The following is a 17,843-nucleotide window of genomic DNA, read 5'->3' on the forward strand; positions in this document are numbered from 1 at the left end:
AGTGATTTAAATGTAGCCATTATTGCTTAACTGAAAGTATTAGGTAAACTTGCATCAGTAAGTCTTAGGGCTTGCTTTTCCTTTGAACTGGTTATGTCCTTCAGTGCTTTATGTTTGAAATAAAATCTACATTTTCATATTTTTATAAATAAAATAGGATCAGATAGTATTTTAGGTTCTAGAAATCTTTGCTGATTCCTTCTTTGAATTAAATTCAGAAATTTTCAAAGTAGGGCTAAAAATAAGTAAATCTTCCTTTTTATAGGTTAGAATATATAGTCAGAATACAAAGCTGTAATTCCTTAAATTCCATCAGGCTTGTTTTGTGAAATATAGTATTTATTATTTAAGGGTTATATTTCAGATCCTATAATTACCTCAGAAAAAGCTAAATATTTGGCACTTAAAATTCCATCAAACAGTTTAAGTGTTCATCAGAAATTCCTAAACTGTCTGGTTGCCATTATTTGGTAAGAACAATGAGATACTAATCTGTCAAAAATAGTGACCACTATCTTAGTAAACTGTTGATGGACTTAGTAAGTCTTCTGATATTGTAGGAAACAAATTATAATATTGATAGAGCCTCTATTGAGAAGAATTGTTTCTTCATCACATGATAATCTAACAGTTTAAAGTGGAGCTTTATCTAAGAACCAGGGAAGCAGTAGATTCATTAGTCTAGCTTTTCTCATCAACTCTTTGAAGCAATGATGAATCTGATAAAGTGAAGCCAAGTTTTCCCTGTTAGGTAGATGGCTTCTTTGAAGTTATAATTTATTGCTTCTTTTTCATCCCCCTACTTATTCTCTTGTTTGGACTTTCCAATTGCTACTGCTTTGTTTTCCATCACATCACTCCTTCCTGTTCTCCAAAATATGGAAATAAAAAAGTCAATTAAAAGAACACCTTATTCTTAAGATAAAAAATTGTTATTATTTGACAACTAATTAATGTTTTGCAGCCCTAATATTCTTAAGTCTATAAGCTTATAAAACATTCTAAGTTCCTTGGAAGATAGAGGCTATATAAATTCAATAAGTATAAGGGAATATGGGAAAAATAAAAGTATCACTTTATTTAAAAATAAGACAAGTCTGTTTGTTTTAAATACTGTTCTTACTATTAATGCATTGTTGACTCTAGAAACCTGCAAGTATCCATTTTTAAAATTTTATTTTAGTTGGTAATACTCTTTATTACTGAACGTAAAATTTTCAACATAAAACACCCTTCATTTATCCTTTACAAGTTTCATTTGAAGAAAGTTAGAAAAAATACTTAGAAATTCAAGGACTTGATATATCCCTTAATTTAGAAAGCTATTCAACTATCCCATAAATTTCTATTTAAAGTAGCAAAAATTTTAGGATAATACAGCTATTTGGCCCTGAATTATAACTGCCCCCTTTGATTGTAACCATTCAGTTTGCAGCATTCGTTTTTGTAATAGCAGTTTGGCTGCTATGGGTGTGATTCAATGGTAACCTACAAGGCAAATTTGTACAGGAGCTGACAGATTTTTCTAACAAAATAAGGAGACTTTGAAGCACATTGAATAGGAGTTTTTAAATGAATAGGATTTTTTAAAGGAAAAAGAGTAGGAGCTTGGGGGGGAAGGCTGGTTGAAATAAATGAGCAAATCACAAATAATAAATCCTTTAGAAATACCTTGATTGGCAGTAAGTGTGGATTATGCTCATCTCAGTATTTAATTAGAAATAACTTACCTTTGTCTTTTGTCTTTTTAATTAAAGTGGCTGTAAAAAAGAAGGTCCAGATGAACTGAGATTGTTTGCTTAGGAATTCTGTTTTACTCTTTTCCTTTTACCTGATGTTCTAAAACAGGGCTTACCTTGTTGAGGACCTTAGAGGCTTTGCAATTCTAGATTGTGATTCTTTCATATCATTTTAGTTTTTCTCCCAAGACTACACTAAAGGAGACATCACGAGATTTGCAAGGTTAAAAACAATTCTGCACGTGCTTCCTCCTGCTCCCAAATCCGGTCATCCACCTTTCAGAGCAGCACCGTAAAGTGAAGACAGACATTTATTAGATGAAATTCTGGTTTCACTTTTACACTTGTGCAAGCATTTTTAACAGTAAAGGAGAGGAAAGGGAGGAATTTATATTTCTAGATAATATATGAAAATTACCTTGATATTGTATTTTTAAGATCTTTCACCAATACTGCAGTGCTGCACTAGAAATAATTAGTTTAAGAAAATACATTCAACATTGTCCAGGTGATCCTGTCACCTTTTAGATGACGAAAAACATCTTGAGGATGTTTTGTACAGTTATTTTCCCATTGTTACTCTTAGAGACTTTTGTTTCAAAAAGGCAGGCTCATTTTATTTTGTTTTATCTTAGAACATTTTAGCAGCTCTTTGTCATGGGTTAAAAAAATCTAGAATTAAAAAAATGTTTAATATATGATTTATATAATTTTGACAAGAATACAAATTCTTAGTCGTTCAAAATTGGAAGCGCTCTTAGAAGTGTCAAGCTCAGCTTTCCATTCCACAAATGAAGTAACTGGTAACTGTGACTTATTATGTTATACAGTGACAGTTATTATGTTATACAGTGTCAGTTATACAGTGACAACCAGGACAAAATCCTAGGGTTCTAGATTCCCCTTCTGGTGCTCTTTTTACCAGATGATGGCATTACTAATTGCCTACCTTGAGGCCTTTGAAATCACCATGTCTGATAAAAACATGCAATTGCTTTGGTGAATTTGTTTGTTTTATTGTTGTTGCTTTGAGTGAATGCTTCAGTTTGCTCTAGATTTTACTTTGTTAAAAATTACCATGTTTTAACCCCCGAAAACATTTAATGTTTTTGAAATGATTTTTTCATAACAATCTTATGAGTCTATTATATAATAGGAAGTATTTTGGAAATTTAATGGTGATATTTCTTTGGAAAAGAAAAATAAAAACTCTGGAATGCAGTGCTGGTTTGTATAATTCAACCTTAAATGTGAGTTAAGCTCAGCTGGTGAGAAAACTAAACAAATGAGACCAAGTTCGTGACCATTAAGTCAATCAGTCACCAGGTGAGACAGTCAGCTTTGCATTCTCTGCTGTGTTCTCCTAGCTCACGCCCACTCCAGGTGCATGCTGCCATCCTCTAAGGGCCTGGACCAAACAGGGAAGTTAGTTAAATCAATGCAAATCCATTATCACCCTGGAAAACCAGGGGACTGACCAGCCGAACACTGCCAGCTTGGCTGCTGAAGTGCCAGTTTACTGTCTTTACATATGCAGGACACACACTACATCTCAATTTTCTCACATCATATGTAGTATTTATGCTGCAGATTGCAAAAGGCTTATAATTTATGTGAATTTTGGGAAGCTAGCATGAGTACCTTTCAGGGTATTGCATGGGAAATTAATTAGGTTTACTTTATTATTTTAAAAAAGTGTGGGTTAAGATTAAGCAACATGATTACTATATCATACACTTACACGTAAATGTTTATAAAAACAAATACAGTTTATATTTAGCTGACATTTTATGATAGGACTTACTTGTGGTTCACAATTTAACTTGGTTAATGTAAGGAAACATTTGGTCTAAGGAAGCAGAAGCTTAAGATAATGACCCTCTATAATACTTTTTGTGAAAAGTAAATATTAAAAATATGTTTTAAAGAACCGGGGATGTTATCGAGATAGGCTTAAAAAAAAAAAAAACGGAAGTTTATACATTTATTTTCCCCTTCCCCTTACAGTTCTTTTTTTTTTTTTTTTTTTTTTTAAGACACAGTCTTGCTCTGTTGCCCAGGCTGGAGTGTGGTGGCATGATCTCAGCTCACTGCAACCTCTGCCTCCTGGGTTCAAGTAATTATCCTGCCTCAGCCTCCCGAGTACCTGTGATTACAGGCGTGCACCACCATGCCCAGCTGATTTTTGTATTTTTAGTAGAGATGGGGTTTCACCATGTTGGCCAGGCTGGTCTTGAACTCCTGACCTCAAGTGATTCGCCCACCTTGGCCTCCCAAACTGCTGGGATTACAGGTATGAGCCACCGTGCCCAGCCATCAGTTCTGTTTCTATTACTTTTTACTTTCTTCCTCCCAAGAGAGCCATGACACACAACATTTCAAGGTGATCTTACCCAGGGGAATTGGACTGACTGGAACATTAGGTGGGTCAGTTTACAAATACAAGTGACTCTATGTCAGTTTCTCTCAATTTTACAATACAGTATTACATTGTATTCAAGGAGGACTTTAATTTTCAATGGTACACATTCTGTGGTGATTCTTATAGACCATTTCAACACTGGCTATAAAACACTTAAAAAACATTTTTAAATTAACTCATGTTTTGTAGAATATTTTGAAGTACAGGAAGGGAAAAGTACCATGAGTAACACTATGACTAAGGAAAAAAGAAGTGCTAATATTGGGATAAATGGCCTTCTCTTTATTTCACATGTATCCTGCCTTTTCAGTTACACTTTTTTGAGCATTCTCCACCACTATGAAAACTATTTTAACATCTGGTTCTAATGTACTGCAGACAATCATATGTTTTATACATACAGGATGTTGCTTGCAGTTTTAACTTATGTTGCAATAAGCATTTTTGTACCCCCCTGTATTTCTACCTTTTGCATTTTTCCCTTAAGGTAGATCCTTGAGGGAGAATTACTAGATCCAAGGGTATAATCTCTTTTGTTCTAACTTCAAAAAATATTTTTGATGCCTATTTAAATTAGGATGATGAAATATAGATCATAGCTCACTATATGTTTTAAGAGTTTCACATCAAACTTTACATAGTAACGAAATGTCTGTGGACAGGATTTTGAACAGAAGTAAATATGGACCGAGTTGTCAACTAACTTGTCACTGTTTTAAATCCATAAATTTCTATTCTTTGTTAAAATAACAAATTTAGAAGATAGCTAAGCCCATAGCCCAGTTATGAGTGAGTGTGTGTGTGTGTGTGTGTGTGTGTGTGAGTCAGGGTGGGGAAAGACAATGTGGGGTATGGAGGAACATCTGGGAAATAAATTTAGCTAGTTATGAGTTAGGAAGCAGTTATTAAGACAAACCTATATCTTTGCCGAATTCTACTCTTTTATTTATTTTTTTAGATGCCTTGTATGGGTATACTTAGAATTAAGTGAGATTTCATACAAGTGAATTAATTGTACTCATCTTCTTGTTAATTTGCTTTAAAATTTTAGTAAGTTCCCATGAATCATTTTTTCAGATCTTGCATTGGATTTTTAAAAATGAGTTTCTGAGATAAACTTGCTTCTAATCTAGTTGTGAGGACAAGTGATGATAATAACTAACATTTCATGGAGTGCAGCTTTTCACATATAAGATTTATTCTCATTTGAAGAGGAAATTGAGGCTTACAGAGGATAGATGACCTGCCCAAGAACAACTTGGTAGTAAGAATCAGATATGGGATTTGAACTGTTGTTTTTTTCTGGGGAGGATGTTGGGGGAGCCTTCAGGATCCAAGCTCTTAACTCCTGCTCTAGAGGAGATGTGAATGACGATCATGTCTGTGCTTTTTCTAGCATAGAACATGATAAACCCCACCAGAGATTCAAACAAGGTGATATCAGGTTCAAAGTAAGGAGAGATCTTGTCTGGTCAGGAGAATCCAAAAAGGGTTCATGGAAGAGTTAGCTTTTAAGATGATTTTGAAGAAGAGGCAAAGAGAGATGATGGGTAGAAAAGAAAACTCAGGACAGAGAGAATAGCATAAGCAAAGAGAATGGAGGCAATTGAAGACCAAGTGTTTTCTGGGAACAGTAACATTTGAAATGTAATGTTTACAAAGGAGAATAATGGAGTATAAGACTAGAAAGATAAATTTATCTTTCTAGATGGAAGCTATCATAAATAGTTTCTATACAATTTAGTGGACAGTGGGGGAGCTCTTGGAAGTCTACGAGCAAAGGAGTTATATGCATAGCTGTGGCTGTACCCAACAAAGATGAGATCAACACCCTTCCCAAATTGGTTTGGATATCAAGACTGATGAGACCACACACACACCAAGAGAGTATGCACAGGTTTATTACTTGCATAATGTGACTTTTTGGGGAGAGCAGGACTTGGCTTTGTTTTTCATTGTGATCAGGGTTGGAGCCACGTGGAGGCTTCAGGTTTGTCTGGTCTTCACATTCCAGCAGATGCCAAGGGATGAAGTTCATGGGCCCTATTATAGGCTTGCTCAGATATGGGACAAAAAGTGGGAGGAGGAGGAATGGATCTTAAAAACTATGAGTACTCAGACATCACAAATGGAGTCAGACTCTATTACAATTCACCACTGATGTTTGATTGATGACTGAAATGTGCCAGGGCTGATTTAATTGATTTTGAACTTGTTTAAATAAACCATTATTGTACTCTATGAGACTTGCAGCATGAGGTCAGTAAGAGAGGTGAGAGTTCCATTGCATGTCTTCTTCAAAAGTCCATGGTGTGTATTTTAAGAAGTGAAATGCAGGCCTTGGTCATCATCAATAATTTCTGGAACTCTGAAGGGGATAAGAAGTGTCTTGGTGAGGCCTTTTCGTTTAGTTTTAGTGTGGGCTGATGTGTGACATTTGTTTATATTTTGGCTATCTGTAAGGCAAAAAATTCCCAGAGATTTTGTTTTTAGCCCAAAGTGGGGTGACCTTGGATAAGGAATTGCTATTATTGCTACAGATCAGACTAACTGACTAGATAATTAGTAATGCCCCAATAATGTATACAAATAGACATACTGGACCAGTTGTTGGTTAAACATCATGTAGTGCTAAGATGACTGCATGAAGTTTGGTTGGTTGTGCTGGCTCTTGAGTCCCATCCTTGATCAGGGATGTCCTGGTTAGGGAATGAATAGCAGCAGCTCACTAGAGGGCATCATTACATTTTATGGTGACCTTGCATATGAAATCCCTTTTCTGATTACTCAGTTGATCCCAAGAGACTCTCCAGGTGGCCAGTGGGCCTGGAAGAAGGGTGGCCTACAGCACCATTACCTTTGGCAAGGGGCTGAGGACAGGAGAAACCACTTCCTCCTGTAGGTTGGATATGCCAGGAGGCCTAAGTTTGCTTCTGGTCTATAAGTACTATTTCCATTTTTGTCCAGAGGCCTCTATAACTAACTGTGCTGATTGTGCAGAGTGCTGTGTCAATGATCCAAGGCATAAGAGGCAGCTGGGTACATAGGATCACAGGCTTAGGGGCCATGAGGGTATTTGTCTCCAGAAAGGCCCAATGTGCAACCAGCAGTTGATGTTCAAATGGTGTGTGGCATGGGACTGAGGAGGGCAGCTTCCTGTATCAAAAGCCTGTGGGCAACTTACAGGTGATCCAGAGACCCCAGGAGGCATGAGAGGAGGTTGCTAAAACCTCTACAGTGAGGGAATCTCTGGGGTATATTAAGGAGAGTGCTTATTGTGTGTAATTTGAACAGATTCTAGAGCATTTAGTTAAAGGAGACCTCATTCAAGGTGGGCTATATTAGCCCATTCTCATATTGCTAATAAAGACGTACCCGAGACTGGGTAATTTATAAAGGAAAGAGGTTTAATTGACTCACAGTTCAGCATGACTGGGGAGGCCTCAGGAAACTTAGAATCATGGCGAAAGGGGATGCAAAAACGTCCTTCTTCACATGGCAGCAACCAGGAGAAGAGCTGAGTTAAAGGGGGAAAAGCCTCTTATAAAACCATCAGATTCCAGCCTGGCCAGTATGGTGAAACCCCATCTCTACTAAAAATACAAAAATTAGCCAGGTGTGGTGGCACATGCCTGTAGTCCAAGCTACTTAGGAGGCTGAAGCAGAAGAATTGCTTGAACCCGGGAGGTGGATATTGCAGTGGGCTGATATTGTGCCACTGCACTCTAGCCTGGGCAACAGAGTGAGACTCTGTCTCAAAAACCAACCAACCAACCAACCATCAGATCTCATGAGACCTCACTCACTATCACAAGAACACGTCCCTCCCACAACATGTGGGAATTATGGGAACTACAATTCAAGATGAGATCTGAGTGGGGACACAGCCAAACCATATCATTCTGCCTCAGCCACTCCCAAATCTCATGTCCTTACATTTCAAAACACAACCATGCCTTCCCAACAGTCCCCAGAGTCTTAACTCATTCCAACATCAACCCAAAAGTCCAAGTCCAAAGTCTCATCTGAGATAAGGCAAGTCCCTTCTGCCTATGAGCCTATGAAATCAAAAGCAAGCCAGATACAATTGGGGTACACGCATTGGGTAATTCCAAATGGGAGAAATTGGCCAAAACGAAGGGGCTACAGGCCCCATGCAAGTCCAAAATCCAGTAGGGCAGTCATTAAACCTTAGAGTTCTAAAATGATCTCCTTTGACTCCATGTCTCACATCCAGGTCATGCTGATGCAAGAGGTGGGCTCCCACGGTCCCGGGCAGCTCCACCCCTGTGGCTTTTCAGGGTATAGCACCCTCCCTTGCTGCTTTTTTGGCTGGTGTTGAGTATCTGTGGCTTTTCCAGGCACATGATGCAAGCTGTTGGTGGATCTACCATTCCAGGGTTTCAAGGATGGTGGCCCTCTTCTCACAGCTTCACTAGGCAGTGCCCAGTGGTGAATCTGTGTGGAGGCTCCAACCCCACATTTCCTTTCTGCACTGCCCTAGCAGAGGTTCTCCATAAGGGCTCCACCCCTGCAGCACACCTCTGCCTAGATATCCAGGCATTTCCCTACATCCTCTGAAATCTAGGTGGAGGTTCCCAAACCTCAATTCTATGCACCCTCAGGACCAACACCACATGGAAGCTGCCAAGGCTTAGGGCTTGCAACCTCCAAAGCCACAACCTGAACTGTACCTTGGCCACTTTTAGCCACAGCTGGAGCAGCTGGGACACAGGGCACCAAGTCTGAGGCTGCACACAGCAGGGGGGCCTTGGACCTGGCCCAGGAAACCATTTTTCCCTCCTCTGCCTCTGGGCCTGTGATGGGAGGGGCTGCTGGGAAGGTCTCTGACATCCCCTGGAGACATTTTCCCCTTTGTCTTGGTGAATAGCATTTGTCTCCTCATTACTTATGCAAGTTTCTGCAGCAGACTTGAATTTCTTCCCAGAAAATGGGTTTTTCTTTTCAATTTCATTGTCAAACTGCAAATTCTTCTAACTTTTATGCTCTGCTTCCTCTTGAATGCTTTGCTGCTTAGAAATTTCTTCTACCAGATACCCTAAATCATCTCTCTCAAGTTCAAAGTTCCACAGATCTGTAGGGCAGGGGAAAAAATGCCACCCGTCTCTTTGCATAGCAAGAGTGGCCTTTCATAGCAAGAGTGGCCTTTACTCCAATTCCCAACAAGTTCCTCATCTCCATCTGAGACCACCTCAGCCTGGACTTTATTGTTCATATCACTATCAGCATTTTGGTCAAAGCCATTCAACAAGTCTCTAGGAGGTTCCAGACTTTCTCAGATGTCCCTGTCTTCTGAGCCCTCTAAGTCTCTGGAAAGAGACACATTTTCCTGTCTTCTTCTGAGCCCTCCAAATTGTTCCAACCTCTGCCTGTTACCCAGTTCCAAAGTCACTTCCACATTTGTGGGTATCTTTACAGTAGCACTGCACTACCTGGTACAAATTTACTGTATTAGTCTGTTCTCACACTGCTAATAAAGACATACCCAAGACTGGGTAATTTACAAAGGAAAGAGGTTTAATTGACTCACAGTTCAGCATGGCTGGGAAGGCCTCAGGAAACTTATAATCATGGCAGAAGGAGAAGCAAAAACATCCTCTAAACGTGGCGGCAGCAAGGAGACGTGCCGAACAAAAGAGAGAAAAACCCCTTATAAAACCATCAGATCTCATGAGAACTCACTTACTATCATGAGAACAGCTGCATGGGGGTCACCACCCCCATGATTCGATGATCTCCCACCAGGTCCCTCCCACAACACGTGGGAATTATGGGAACTACAATTCAAGATGAGATTTGGGTGAGGACAGAGCCAAACTATATCATGGGCCAGTTTGCAAGTAGCAGCATAAGTGAACTTAAGTAAAATTTGTAAGTAAGGAATATTTGCCTTCAGAAGCCTAAAAAGTCCTAAAAGATTGTTTGCTTATCTTAACATTGCAGGTGTTAAGAGAGGGCCACTAATTGTTTTCTGATAGTATCAGAGCTGGAGTAGTCCTTGACTGACAAAATAATTCCCAGTAATTTAACTGATATGGCAGGGCCTTGTACTTTTTGTTGGGCAATGCCCATTTCTTTTTGTGAGTATTTGTATTTTTTGAATGAGTATGTCAAATGAATCTTTGAAGAGGAGGATGCCATCAACGTAATATCATATCTGTGTTCCTGGAAGAAGGTGGATGTGATGAAGATCATGGCAGCAGAGATTGTGTAGGAGGGCAGGGTTATTGAGATACCTCATGGACAGTCAGGTAAAGTTGTATTGTGTCCCTTTGAAGGTGAAGGCAAATTGGAACTGAGAGGCTGTTGAAATAGAAACTTAATAGAACATATTTGCCACATGTATAATAGGAAAGCATTTTTCAGTTACTGATTGGATAGAGTCAATAATTTCAATAATATCAGGTATGAGAGCCTTAATTGAGGCACCGTGCCATTAAGGTTGTGATAATCTGCTGTTAGATGCCATTCATTGTTATCAAGTTTGAGCGTTGGCCAAACTGGGCAATTAAAAGGGAAAATAGCAGGAATGATGGCGCCTTCCTTTTGGAAGTCTTAGATGGTGGGTTTTAATTCCTGTAGGTCTTGGTTTAATCTATATTGGACTTTTTAACTATTTTAGCTGTGAGAGAAGGTCCATGGTCTTGGTTTAATCTATGTTGGACTATACTAACTAATTTAGCTGTGAGGAAAGGTCCATGGAGTCCCATTTTGGTAAGCCAATTTTAAGTGCCAAAAACTTAATTTTATTTGGGAGACCGAGGTGGGCAGATCACGAGTTCAGGAGATCGAGACCATCTTGGCTAACACGGTGAAACCCCATCACCACTAAAAATACAAAAAATTAGCTGGGCCTGGTGGCGGGTGCCTGTAGTCCCAGCTTCTTGGGAGGCTGAGGCAGGAGAATGGCGTGAACCCGGGAGGCGGAGCTTGCAGTCAGCCGAGATTGCGCCACCACACTCCAGCCTGGGTGACAGAGTGAGACTCCATCTCAAAAAAAAAAAATTAATTTTATTTCGATTTATTACTTGTGAGGTCAAAGAATTCATGTGCACTATGGGATATTTTAGGTCAATGGGCACTGTAACTATGGGAAATTTAGTTAAGGCAATAGTATCAGTGGTAAAGGAGAGACATGAATAATTGTCATCAAAGATAGTGAGCAAGCTAAGAGCAAGAAAAGAAAGACTCCTAGGTGGTGGTGGTCCTCAACTAGACAATGCAGTTGAGTCTACCAGTTGCTTTTTGGTTGCCCTGTGGATGGCAGGATCATCATCTACTCATGACTCCCACCAAAGTGGTTTGAATTTTAAGTTTGAGAATGATACACACACACACACCAAGAGGGTATGAAAGGATTTATTACCCGTATAATGGGACTTTTTGGAGAGAGCAGGGCAGACATCCAAGCTAGTATAGAAGGGCTTAAGCAAAGAGAGGAGAGTGGCTCTGATTTTTATTGTGGGTAGACAGTCAGGCCAGGATAAGGGTTCCTAGGTTTGCTTGGTTTGAATTCCCTCCTGCTTCTCCTCTACCCGCCATTCATGCCAAGGTAGGAGGGGGTTGTGAAGGAGTAAGAAGTAGGGAATGGGAATAACTGTGGATTTATTAGTTTGCCCAGATGTGGGGTGAGAGAATAAAAGGGAGGGGTAGTATATATACATAACTTGTTTCTCTTCTGCATGTATGGTATATGGGATTATGGGCTAAGTGACCCAAATAATTCAAAGTTTTTATTTTTTTATTTTTTGATGTTAAACTATAAACAATCACTACATTTTGATGGCATTTAACATATGTGAAGAATGATAATAAAATAATAGAAAATCCTGGTTAAGATATTGTATATGGAAAAGAGGACCATAGGAATGCCATTTACAAGTCTAAAATGGAAAAAAAAATAGCTCAAAAATGAAGCACTTCCCTTAAAAGAATAGTAACACTATTTTACTTTGACTATCCAGATGTGCTCATAGATTTTCTTTGTGACATTAAATGATCCGTTTTTATGCTATTGGCTGCATCCATTTTTGCAAAAATGCTTTCCAGAAACTGAAACTTAGTTTTGAATATTGGTGTAACACCATTGTAGATAAGTAAGACATTTCAAGCCTTGTTTTGAATGTGTTGACCTTAATTATCAGATCTGAGGTCTGCATTTATCATATGAATCAAATGGTTATGAAGTTCTCCTTTTAAAGTTAAGAAAACTTTGTCATGTCTTTTCAGCTTAATCTTGGTTGGACAGTTGTCCTCTCGGTAGAAAAGCTGAGAACAAGCATTCCTGCCCTTCTCATGTGTCTGCCAGAGTGCTAATCCCTATGTCCTCACCAAGGCCCAGCTTTAAGGGCTCCTCTGCTGCTTATGTAAACTGACCTGATGTACACTGCAATCGAGGTATTTTTCAAATAACCTGCAGCTTCACATACAAATCAGCTGCTTCTTATTTTAAGTGGCTTTATTGGTCATAAAACCAAAATTACCATTCAGTCCAAAGAAACAACTTTTTTCAATTAATTTTAGAATAATATAGAAACTGTATTTTTAGATTGACTTTTCCTACACTTGACTGTTTTGCATGTGCGGGTTGCCATAGTGTTAGTCTTTGGTAAGAGATGTAACAATACAAATCAAAAACAAAGAACCACTGAGCTGGATTTTTCTCTGTGTGTCATCTACCCCTTGATTGGAGGTAATTGCTTTGGCATTGAGAAAACCTGACTCAATTCTTTGACTTCGTGTTAGGAAAAAAATGGCATTTAACTAAACACAACCAGCAATGTTGATGTTTAGGATATTTGACAATTTGTTACTGTCCTTGTTTTGCTTGAGAAACTCAATTTGCAGCCAGCATTTTGCTAACAGAACCGAGTGCAGAAAGCCGATGGTACTTGACTGGATGGGACTAGTTTTGGCCAATCCATGAGTTGAGCAGCGTTCCAAGCCAGATTGAGGCTTGACTCAAGTGGACTTTCTTACTGGCAATGGCTTCTGGAGATTCTGGCAGTGCCGTAGTCTCCACGGGAGACTGAATGCATGAATTTGGATTAAGTACAACCGTGAGTGGCAGAAGTTGAGGTACATGTTTTTTTCTTTCATGTTAAGAGAGGAGGTTTGAATCAAGAAGCGATATGGCAACTTTGTTCCACAAATTTCTCGGGAGATTTCTAGCCTTATTGCTCCTCTATGCCTAGTAGTTAGCCCTAATCCTTTTGGTATGAATTGGCTTGAGTCTAGAATCCTGTGAGGATAAGCCCTTGGGAGGCTCCACTTTGTCCTCCAGTAACAAGTGGACTAGTCTTTACAGGATGCCTTTTATGTCTGTGCGTGTGTGTGTGTGTCAGGAGAGAGGATAAACTCAGCTTCTCTACATATATTTTTTCTGACTCTTAACCATGTAGTTTGCATATTGAAAAACAGAGTATCTATTAATTGCAACTGTGGTGAAAGCCCTACATTTCCTTTTGGGCTATGTGGGGTTTTGTTTTTGTTTTTCCTTCTGTAGCTGAAATGAACTATCTCACTGTGATTCACATTAGTGAGGTTTCAAGAATACTTATTCAAGACTTTCTAAGGGTCAAGGCCATAGGGGCATATGGGGAACAAAAGATGAATAAGAATAGAATTGGTACATTCTTATAATATAAATGGGGCAAATACACAGGTAACTATAATACAAAGCAAAATGTGAATAGAAAGGTACATAGGGTTGTGAAAACCCAAAGGAAAGATTATTTTTATTTGGATGAGTCAGAGAAGACTCCATGGAGTCAATGTTACTGGATTTGGGCTTTGGAGGACTAGAGACTAGAGGCAACCATTGACTGCCTGCATAACAGCTATTCCCACCCCACCCCCATCCTCCTTCTGGATAGTATAGAGGCTATTCATTTTATAGGCTACAATGCTTGCATTTCCTGCCTCCTCAGAAGCTAGAGAATGGGCATGGATGGTTTCTTTCAATTGGCACCTAACAAAGGTCTACTGAAGGCATGCTGGAAAACATTTTCCTTCTCTTTTAAAAAAGATGTATGAGAAGAACTTCTCTCCCCTCCCCCCTCTTTTTTTTTTGAGACAGAGTTTCACTCTTGTCACCTAGGCTGGAGTGCAATGGCACAATCTCGGCTCACTGCAAGCTCTGCCTCCTAGGTTCAAGCCATTTTCCTCCCTCTGCCTCCTGAGTAGCTGGGATTACAGGCATGCACCACCATGCCCAGCTAATTTTGTATTTTTAGTAGACATGGGGTTTCACCATGTTGGCCAGACTGGTCTCGAACTCCTGACCTCAGGTGAGCCACCCGTCTTACCCAAAGTGCTGGGATTACAGGCATGAACCACTGCACCCAGCGTCTCCTTCCCTTTTGATATAGATATGTGAGGATATGATGCCTGGAGCAGTGGCAGCTACCGTGTGACTATAAGGAAAGAAGCCCAGAGACAATGGTCAACATCCCAAAGATAGCAAAACAGAATGATGGAAATCACATGCTTCTTCTAGCTCAGACTTATTGCTATGTAAGGTAATAAATGTTTACATCATTTAAGGCACAGTTAGTTGAGTATTCTGTTACAAGAAGCTTATAAGCATTCTAACTGACAGAGTAGGATTTTTCTAGGTAGTTTGGGGTCATAATGGGGAGTATGGCAGGGTGAGGTTGTATTGGAGAGAGTATCCCAATCCATATAAACAATGTGAGCAGAAGTGTGTAATGGAAAAACTCAGGTTGCATTAGGGAAGTAGCAAATGGTTTGATTTGGTTAGAATAAAGAGAGGATGGCAAGTAGGAGGTAACTGGTAAGATTTGGGACAAGGTCATGAAAAACTTTGGAGCCATGCTTAAAAGCTTAGAATTTATTCAATCAGAAACAGTAAGCTGTGGAAGGTTTTTGAGTAGAAAGAACTAGAATCAAAACTATGCTTTCTTTTTTGAAGAACATCTTCTCTTCTTACATATACTGTATACTTTCTTGTGGTTACACTTTTTTTCCTGTTGAATTTTCTGTCCTGTCAACAAGAACATATAATTTACAAAGTAAAAATTAGAAGTACAGCATATTATGCATTTCATATTGCTGCTCTTTAAACTTTGGGTAACTGCTTAACAATTTTGATTGCATAAGGTAGTTTTCCTCTGATTGACTCTCATTTAAGCATCTCTAGGATCAAATGATTTTATTTTATGGGCAATATGGAGACAAGAAGACCTCCTATTAGTGATTCTCATTCTATTTTTAATATACAATTATTTTGTACTTTTACCAAGGGGTAAACAATTTTTGGTTGTTTTTTAAAAAATGAAGCCTTTTTACAAATTACAAAAAAATTCTTCATTGTTAACTATTTCGGAAATTTTTTGAAAAATGGAAACAAATAAATCAACATAGTTTTTTTACCTTCAGACCCCTATTTCTTTTTAGTTTTTTTTCCTGAAACTAATTTATTGTTAAAAGATTGAAGATGATGCATGAAAATATTTAAATTTAAGTAGAAAATATGTCATTGGCGTAAATAAATCTGATTTCGTGATTTGACAGTAAAATGTTACATTATCATTTAGATAATGTGTTCTTCAGGACACCAGCATATTATTCATTAGGAGTCTTAGTTTAGTTCAAAAAATGAACACAGATTATCTCCAAGTAAACAAAGCAGTTGCTCTTTCTCTGTAAAAACAGAGAAGATTCTCAGTTTTGTTCTGGATTTTCAAAAGACAATCACAATCCAGCAGAGGTTACTCTTGTTCTGAACAAAGCTTTTTATAATTTTGTCAGAGGATTTGCAGCATAATTCCATTATCACAAATTCCGAAAATACTACATACAAGATACAAAATATTTGATAAACGAGGGCAGAATAATAAACGTGGCCTATTTGTAATATTACATCAGACAAAACTAGTTGTTACTATTATATTTGGCATCAAGAATTATCCTTTTGTTTGTAACTTGTAACTTGTTTATTGCATATTGGGACTATTATAACAAACCTCCAACAAAATGGAGGGGGATTTCTAGAAAAATTTAGAGCCATGTTAAAAATCCTTTACATTCATTATGTGAATTGTTTTAAATAGGAAAAGTTTTCGAATTAAAAAAAATTGACTTTATTAGTTCTGAAAATTAAAAAACCCATCTCTCTTTTACAAGAAACCTGTGTAGTTGTGTTTTATAACAGTGCTTCTCAAACTAGTGTGTGGAGGAATTATTCAGAGTGTTTGTTAAAGTGTAGTGTCTGTTTGAGAAGGTCTGGTGTGGAGCCTGAGATTCTACATTTCTAACAAACTCAGTTCAGAAGCCATTGGTCCGGAGGCTACACTTTGAATAACAAGATTTTAGAGGAAGGTAAAAAAGAAAATGTGTTTGGAAAACTGTCTGATAGATAAATTTAACTACACGTAAATTGCTCATGAAATGCTGGCATCAGGAAAGGCTATCATTCAATACTAAACAATTCACAACTGCAATAAGGTATGAGATTTTAACTCAGTTACATTTTCCAAAATATTTTTCTTTTGTGCACTTACTAACTCCATAGCTCTGTCACTCTGACACAACAAGTTTAATCTAGAGTTGACTGCAGACATCAAACATAAAATACGAGTTCATATTTTGGATTTGTGTTTGTAAGGAAACTTGAAATGAGTCTTTTCCAAGTCTTTGAAGATATTTAAATGTAGTCATTTTCATTAATTACTCTTAACAAGTAATTAATACTGTGTTTGGAATTTCACAGGAGCTTATGTCTTTCAAATGCTAAATTTGTGTTTGATACCCTTTTGCAGACATTCAGGCTAATTACTTACTGGCCTTTCATAAACACTCAAGAGTGAGAAAGGGAGAAACCTAAGTAGAGCGAATCCTGTAACTAATAACAGATGAGATGTTCATTATGTAGAGAGTGTTTTTTTATCCTGTAACTAATAACAGATGAGATGTTCATTATGTAGAGAGTGTTTTTGTTTGTTTGTTTATTTCTTTTCATTTCAAAATGTTGAACTTTGGGCATTTAACAGAAATTTAACAGATATTTCTACAAAGCAGATTTTTTCCTCATCTGCTGAGTAAAACCATCTAACATAAGTAAAGGTTAAAGGAAGTAAATATTTATCTCAGTGGTTACAAACTGCATTTTAACAAGTTAGGAGCCGACTCCTCTGGCTCACTGTGTTGGCTCCAGATAGATGGTCCAGGGTCCCCAGGCATGGGAGCAGGGCTCACCCGGCAGGGCTCCTTCGGGTGAGTGTGAACAGGGCCCTGGAGGCAGCTCCTGAGGGTGAGAGCCAGATGCAAATTAGTTTTTTTGAGAACTGGCAGTTTTCTCTGCCTTACCTGTGGATGTCAGCAAACTAGTTGTTAAATGTATTTCTGTCAAGGTTCATTTGTCATATTTCAAATTCTTTAAAGACCAAGTCTGAGGTCAGCAGTGAGGACCACAAATCTTAACTGGAAATTATACCTTTATCATATACTACAAGGGTGTCAAACCCTGGTAAGTCAGTTACTAGCCTGAAGAGATTTTCATTTCACTTTAAATTATCAGATTTTCATTGTCTCCTCATTAGCATGTCAATCTCAGTTTCTATGGTAGGAAAAACTCCCTAATTACAAAATAAAAGTAATTAAAAATAAACCTCCATGAAAGAACAGACAGGTTGAGTCAC

The 17,843-nt window shown here is 38.2% G+C and overlaps 1 annotated feature.

Moving 5' to 3' along the window:
* Positions 13,415-13,464: an enhancer, noted in NCBI's record as "active region_24779". NCBI's record gives its function as "activates an Ori minimal core promoter by ATAC-STARR-seq in GM12878 lymphoblastoid cells {active_cell/tissue: GM12878}" and the evidence as "EXISTENCE:reporter gene assay evidence [ECO:0000049][PMID:35858748]".

The sequence above is a fragment of the Homo sapiens genome, chromosome 6 (genome assembly GCF_000001405.40).
Source record: "Homo sapiens chromosome 6, GRCh38.p14 Primary Assembly".
Classification (NCBI taxonomy): Eukaryota; Metazoa; Chordata; class Mammalia; order Primates; family Hominidae; genus Homo; species Homo sapiens.